Raw genomic sequence first — 5,844 nt, 5'->3', positions numbered from 1 at the left:
CTGGGAGGTGGAGGTTGCAGTGAGCCAAGATCGCACCACTGCACTCTAGCCTGGGCGACAGAGCAAGACTCCATCTCAAAAAAAAAATAAAAAAATTAAAAAAAAAAAGTGCTGTGTTAGAGAGGATCTAAGAGAAACCAGAAGTCATTTGCAAAAAATAGGCATATGATATAGTCTGGTAACGTAACAGCCAGAGGTACTGTTTTATCCATTTCAGTGTGCATGTTTGTACAAGCATCAGAAACCAATGACACAGATCCTAAAGCAAAGTCACAACAGGCTTATTCTGAAACATGCTGGATTACCACCACAGATTACGCAGGACACAGAGGCTGTGCTGGGGCAGGTTTTTTGTGTCTTCTGTATGGAGTTTCTGCCAGATGGGGGCTAATCATGCAATAGCTTGAGTTTTTCTTAATGTGATAAACACCCAGCATTGCTAGCACCAGAAAGTGTGTGTTCACTGTTGTGTAAGACAGTTAAACAACAGAAAGTTCCTTCATTTTAATCTGGTTATATGCCCGAATCTCTAATCAAGAAATAATTCAGCTATAGGAGCCAATTAAATTACTATAAAACATGCCTTCATCTGTAAAACATTTATTTTCCCCTCAAATGTAAAATTTAAAGTAAAATGTCGCTGTTTTTGATAGGCAGCTCCACCACCAGTCTCTGATATTGTATATCGTTCAGTGTGGGCATGGCTTTTTGTTCTGGAGGTCTCAGAAGGGATGGGCCAAAGACAATTCCAGGGTTCTCCGCATTCATAAGATTCTCGTTTTCATGGAGCGTCATTCTCTTTAGACGCGCCATCAGGGATCAGAGGGTTTCACAGCGAGCAGGTGCCAGTAGTTTCAATGCTTCATGAAGGGTTTCCAATTACTCACTAGGATCCGTAGTTTTGGCAGATTCTATAAACTTACGGTAGATATCCTGCGCAATTAGTGAAACTGGCAAATCCCTGAAGTGCAGTTTCGGAGTTCCAGTGATAATGTTGGTATCTTCATATGTGTTCACAGAAATAGCTGCTTTCTCACCATCTGTCAAAAGCTGTCTTGACATCAGTTAAGTCACTAAATCCTGATACATGGTATAGTCCTTCAGAACTGGAACTTTCAGACTCAATCTCCCTGTTGCACATGTCTGCCACCCTTGGCTGCTTAGCAGTGTGTGCTTTTGACAAGCATTGTAAGGTCACAGCTGGACACGTTGGCATGCCTCAAGCCTGGCTTCCAGTCATTTGGGACCATGTTGGGTCACTGCTTGTGAACACTGAAATCAATCCACACAGTTCACTCCCTGAGCAATGAGACCATACATGAGGATGGCACGGTATTCATGCCAGCGTGGGCCTCTCGATGCATGGACCTTGAAATTGTGAACCTTTTCATATTTTGGAATTTGCTTGTTTTCTTTCAGAGTTGCTCTCCTAACGAGTGATGTCACCCTTTTCTCCGACACCTCATCCTGGCCTATAGAATCTCACCACGTGTCTTTTTCAGGACTGGCATATATTTTTTGCAAACAGACTCTCTGTTTAAGGTTGTGCATCCTATGTGCTCATAAACTGGGTTTATCATCATCTTGGCAATGTATTCTGCTGCCTTGTTTCAATATAGAGAGTAATCAAGCCATCAGTTACCAGATTGTGGATGGACACACAGTGTTTCTTCCCAGCAAAGTGATTTCCATCGCACTAGAACCTGAAGTTTCTTGTTTGACTTCCCAATCTGAAAGCTAAAGTGTAGGGCCCTGCCTTTTGCTGCCTCTCCCCATGATGTATCTCCCTCAGCCACACTCAAGAGCTGGTCAGCTGCTTCTCCAGAGATCATGCCGTGAAACTCTCTTCCATGATACTTTGGGCTGTTTTCTCCCTTGAAAGTACAGATAATCCTTCGAGGATTAGGGTCTTCCTGTTGTAGTTGATATAAGTAAGATTTCCAAATAGGAAATCGATTTTCATCTGTATCAAACAGGGTCAGGGCCGATCTTTTTTTTTTTCCCCATAGACTCAAGAACATGGATAGCATCACAGCATTATTTGCAAAAAGACTCTACTAGAAAACAAGACTATTGCCCCAAATTTTTTCCGTTTTTGTTTTTTAAATATTGAGTTGGTCTTGAACTCCTGGCCTCAAGCAATCCTCCTCCTTTAGCCTTCCAAAGTGCTAGGATTATAGGCCTGAGCCACTGCACCCAGCCATAGCCAGGTATTTTTTTTTAAATGATTGCCCAACTTATTTTGTTATTTACTTATTTATTTAGGATGTAAGCAACAAACATTTATTTTGCGCAGTTTTGGAGGCTGGGCACCAGCAGACTGGTGTCTGGTGAGAGTATCCTCCTGGTTTGCAGATGGCCATCTTCTCACCACATCCTCACACAGCCTCCGTGAAGCCTATTTGCTCCTTCTGGAAGCTTCCCAGGGGTCTGATGAGAAAATCACTAGCATGTGTGCTATCGTCATCTTCTCTTCCTCTACCTTTTTGAGCAATTCAACAAATTCCTTGAAGGATTCAGTGATGTTAATATCATCATCAAGTCAGAGTATCTCCAATGAAATCAAACTGAAATGACCGCAGCATCTGGGAACATTTCTGACCTGCAGAAGAGTAATGCTCACCAGCTCATTATAAAGGATATTACAAAGGATCCAGATGAAGAGATGCATGGGGTGAGTATGGGGGAAGGGGCGGAGAGCTTCCATGCCACCCTCCAGGGACCTCCACATGTTCAACTATTGGGAAGCTCTCCCAACTTATTTTGAATATATTTTTGTTTTTTTGAGATGGAGTCTCTCTCTGTCACCCAGGCTGGAGTGCAGTGGCACGATCTTGGCTCACTACAACCTCCACCTCCCAGGTTCATGCCATTCTCCTGCCCCGGCCTCCTGAGTAGCTGGGACTAAAGGCACCCACCACCATGCCCAGCTAATTTTTTGTATTTTTAGTAGAGATGGGATTTCACCATGTTAGCCAAGATGGTCTCGATCTTCTGACCTCATGATACGCCCACCTCAGCCTCCTAAAGTGCTGGGATTACAGGCATGAGCCACCGCCTGAATAATTCTTTATGATAGTGCATGTATACCTGAAGGAACCATTGGATAGGCAGTTGTTAATGTTTGAAAAACAGAAGCTTACACATAGCTTACAAAAAATAGCTATGTGTAAGAGCATGTGGGGGAGTCCTCACTGGAACTGTGGTCTTCTGCAGTCCACAGTGCAGAAGCAGGGCAGGCCCAACAGAAATGTATTTGCTAGGGTCTGGGGAGCTTCCCAGAAAGGGGCTCAGCCTGGGTTTCTGCTGGAGAGCTCCATGTGCAAAGGCTGGGGAGCTTCCCAGAGACACTCATCCGGAGAGAACAAGAAACTGGCCCCAAAGAGGCCCTGAATGCCGGGGAGGGTGGAGCTCTTACTCCAGCCAGTTCCTGGCCCAGGCTACTGCACACACATGAGCCTAGAGAGAGAGAGAGAAGGTCAGAGTGAAAACCAGAAAGCTCTGCCTCCATACGCTCTATCAACTACTGGGGCTGGGCAATAGCACCTTAGGACCCACGCCTGTTGGGAACAGGCCCCCCAAATCTGGCCATAAACTGGCCCCAAAACTGGCCATAAACGAAATCTCTGCAGCACTGTGGCATGTTCGTGATGGCCATGACACCCACGCTGAAGATTGTGGGTTTACTGGAATGAGGGCAAGGAACACCTGGCCCACCCAGGGCAGAAATGGGCTTAAAGGTGTTCCTAAACCACAAACAATAGCATCAGCGATCTGTGCCTTAAGGACATGTTCCTGCTGCAGATAACTAGCCAGAGCCCATCCCTTTATTTTGGCCCATGCCTTTGTTTCCCGTAAGGAATACTTTCAGCTAATCTATAATCTATAGAAACAATGCTTATCACTGACTTGCTGTCAATAAATATGTGGGTAAATCTCTGCTCGAGGCTCTCAGCTCTCAAGGCTGCGAGATCCCTGATTTCCCACCCCGCACCCTATATTTCTGTGTGTGTGTCTTTAATTCCTCTAGCGCCACTGGGTTAGGGTCTCCACGACTGAGCTTAAGGGAGGAGACCACCCCTCATATTGTCTTATGCCCAATTTTTGCCTCCAAAGATAAAAGAAGTAAAAACTAAAAGGCAGAAGTGAAATCCACAAGCAGACAGCCCCGCGCCACACCCTGGGCCTGGTAGTTAAAGATCGAGCCCTGACCTAATCGGTTATGTTATCTATAGATTACAGACATTGTATAGAAAAGCACTGTGAAAATCCCTGTCCTGTTCTGTTCTAATTACCAGTGCATGCAGCCCCCAGTCACGTACCCCCTGCTTGCTCAATCGATCACGACCCTCTCACACGGACCTCATTAGAGTTGTGAGCCCTTAAAAGGGACAGGAATTGCTCACTTGGGGAGCTCGGTTGTTGGAGACTTGAGTCTTGCCGAAGCTCCTGGCCGAATAAAGCCCTTCCTTCTTTAACTTGGTGTCTGAGGGTTTTGTCTGCGGCTTGTCCTGCTACAAGCTGGTCTTGGCACACTCCCCTTGGAGGAGTGTGGAGTTCACTGCTCCACAGGTTTGGAACCATGAGAACTCAGGGCATCAGTGACATCCCTACAGTTGTGCCCTGGGGACATCAAGATGAGGCATGGTGCTTGGCAACACAGTGGCAGCTCTAGCAGGAAGTCCTAGAGCTGGCTGGGCATAGCGGGGACTCCTCTGTGTTAGCAGAGTTAGCAGCTCTGCTGACAAGCGTGCACTCTTGTGTTAGCAGGTAGAGGCAAGAGCCTTTGAATACCAAGTAATTATTCTTTACATTACCTCCTCCAGACATGGGAGGCCTAGGAAAACTCGGGTTCCATCACCTGCTGCCAATCATCTATGCCTTGGAAATAATGTTATCAGTAGTGGTTAGGTTTCCAAATGAGAAAAGAAAGAAGGAAGGGAGGGAGGGAGGGAGAGAAGAAGGAAGGAAGGAAGGGCTGCTTTCTCCCATAATCAATTATATATTTGTTAAACACTATACACAAATAGTTCTTTTTGTTTCTAAACCCATAAAATATATTTTGCAACCAGATAACTGGCCTGCAGTGCCTTCACCCAATCAGCCAAGCTGTTCCCCCTAATCTGAGGGGTGAATGCAGAGCTTACTTAGGGCTGTGCCCATTACCCAGTCCCTGAAATGCACCTTTACGGCCTGGGAGAGGAGGGAGGGGGTGTGGAGTGAAGAGTCCCAGCACCAAATGACGGGCACAAGGAGCAGTCAGGCAGGTACGAACTAGCTAAGGTCTATTGGGCATCTTTAGTAGGTCTCATTTGATCCTCCAAATATTCTCATCTAGAATGAGAAGAGGCTCAGAGAAGGTAAGCAAGTTGCAAAAGTCACACAGGTAGTATCAGAGGTCACCAGCCTGGAGGAAGAGGAAGGGCAGGAGCAGCTGAGGCATCTGGCAGTGGGCAGGGACACCCCGGGAGATGAGATCGCAGAGGGGGGTGGCAGAGAGGTGGGGAGTGGGGGATGGGGCAGCACCGCAGGGGCCGGGCGGGGTGGGGGTGGAAGGGGGACAGGCACGTGGGGACCCCCACAGAGCCACTGCGCTGGGGGCGGGTAAGGAAGAGGGCGTGGGGGAAGCCTGGGCACCGGGCAGAGGTGGACAGTGGGGAGGGGGAGGAGCGGGGGAGCAGAGGCGAGGAGGAGGGACCCCGGTGGGGAGCGCAGGAGTTCCTGCTGTGGTCTTTGCAGAGAGGCCAGAATAAGAGATAAGAAAGTCAAGGTGGATGGAAAAGAAGGAAAACGGATCATTCCCGGCAACGTGGGTGAGCCGGGCGGGGCGGGGAGCCGGGGTCG

The 5,844-nt window shown here is 47.5% G+C and overlaps 1 pseudogene; it reads right to left on the bottom strand.

The window, feature by feature from the left end:
• Positions 1-427: 427 nt before the first annotated feature.
• LOC100533630 (chimerin 1 pseudogene) lies at positions 428-1,986 on the bottom strand (annotated as a pseudogene).

Source organism: Homo sapiens, chromosome 4 (assembly GCF_000001405.40).
Source record: "Homo sapiens chromosome 4, GRCh38.p14 Primary Assembly".
NCBI classification, from domain to species: Eukaryota; Metazoa; Chordata; class Mammalia; order Primates; family Hominidae; genus Homo; species Homo sapiens.
Note: the sequence above shows the minus strand (reverse complement) of the source record. Positions and strands in the feature narration are given on the sequence as shown.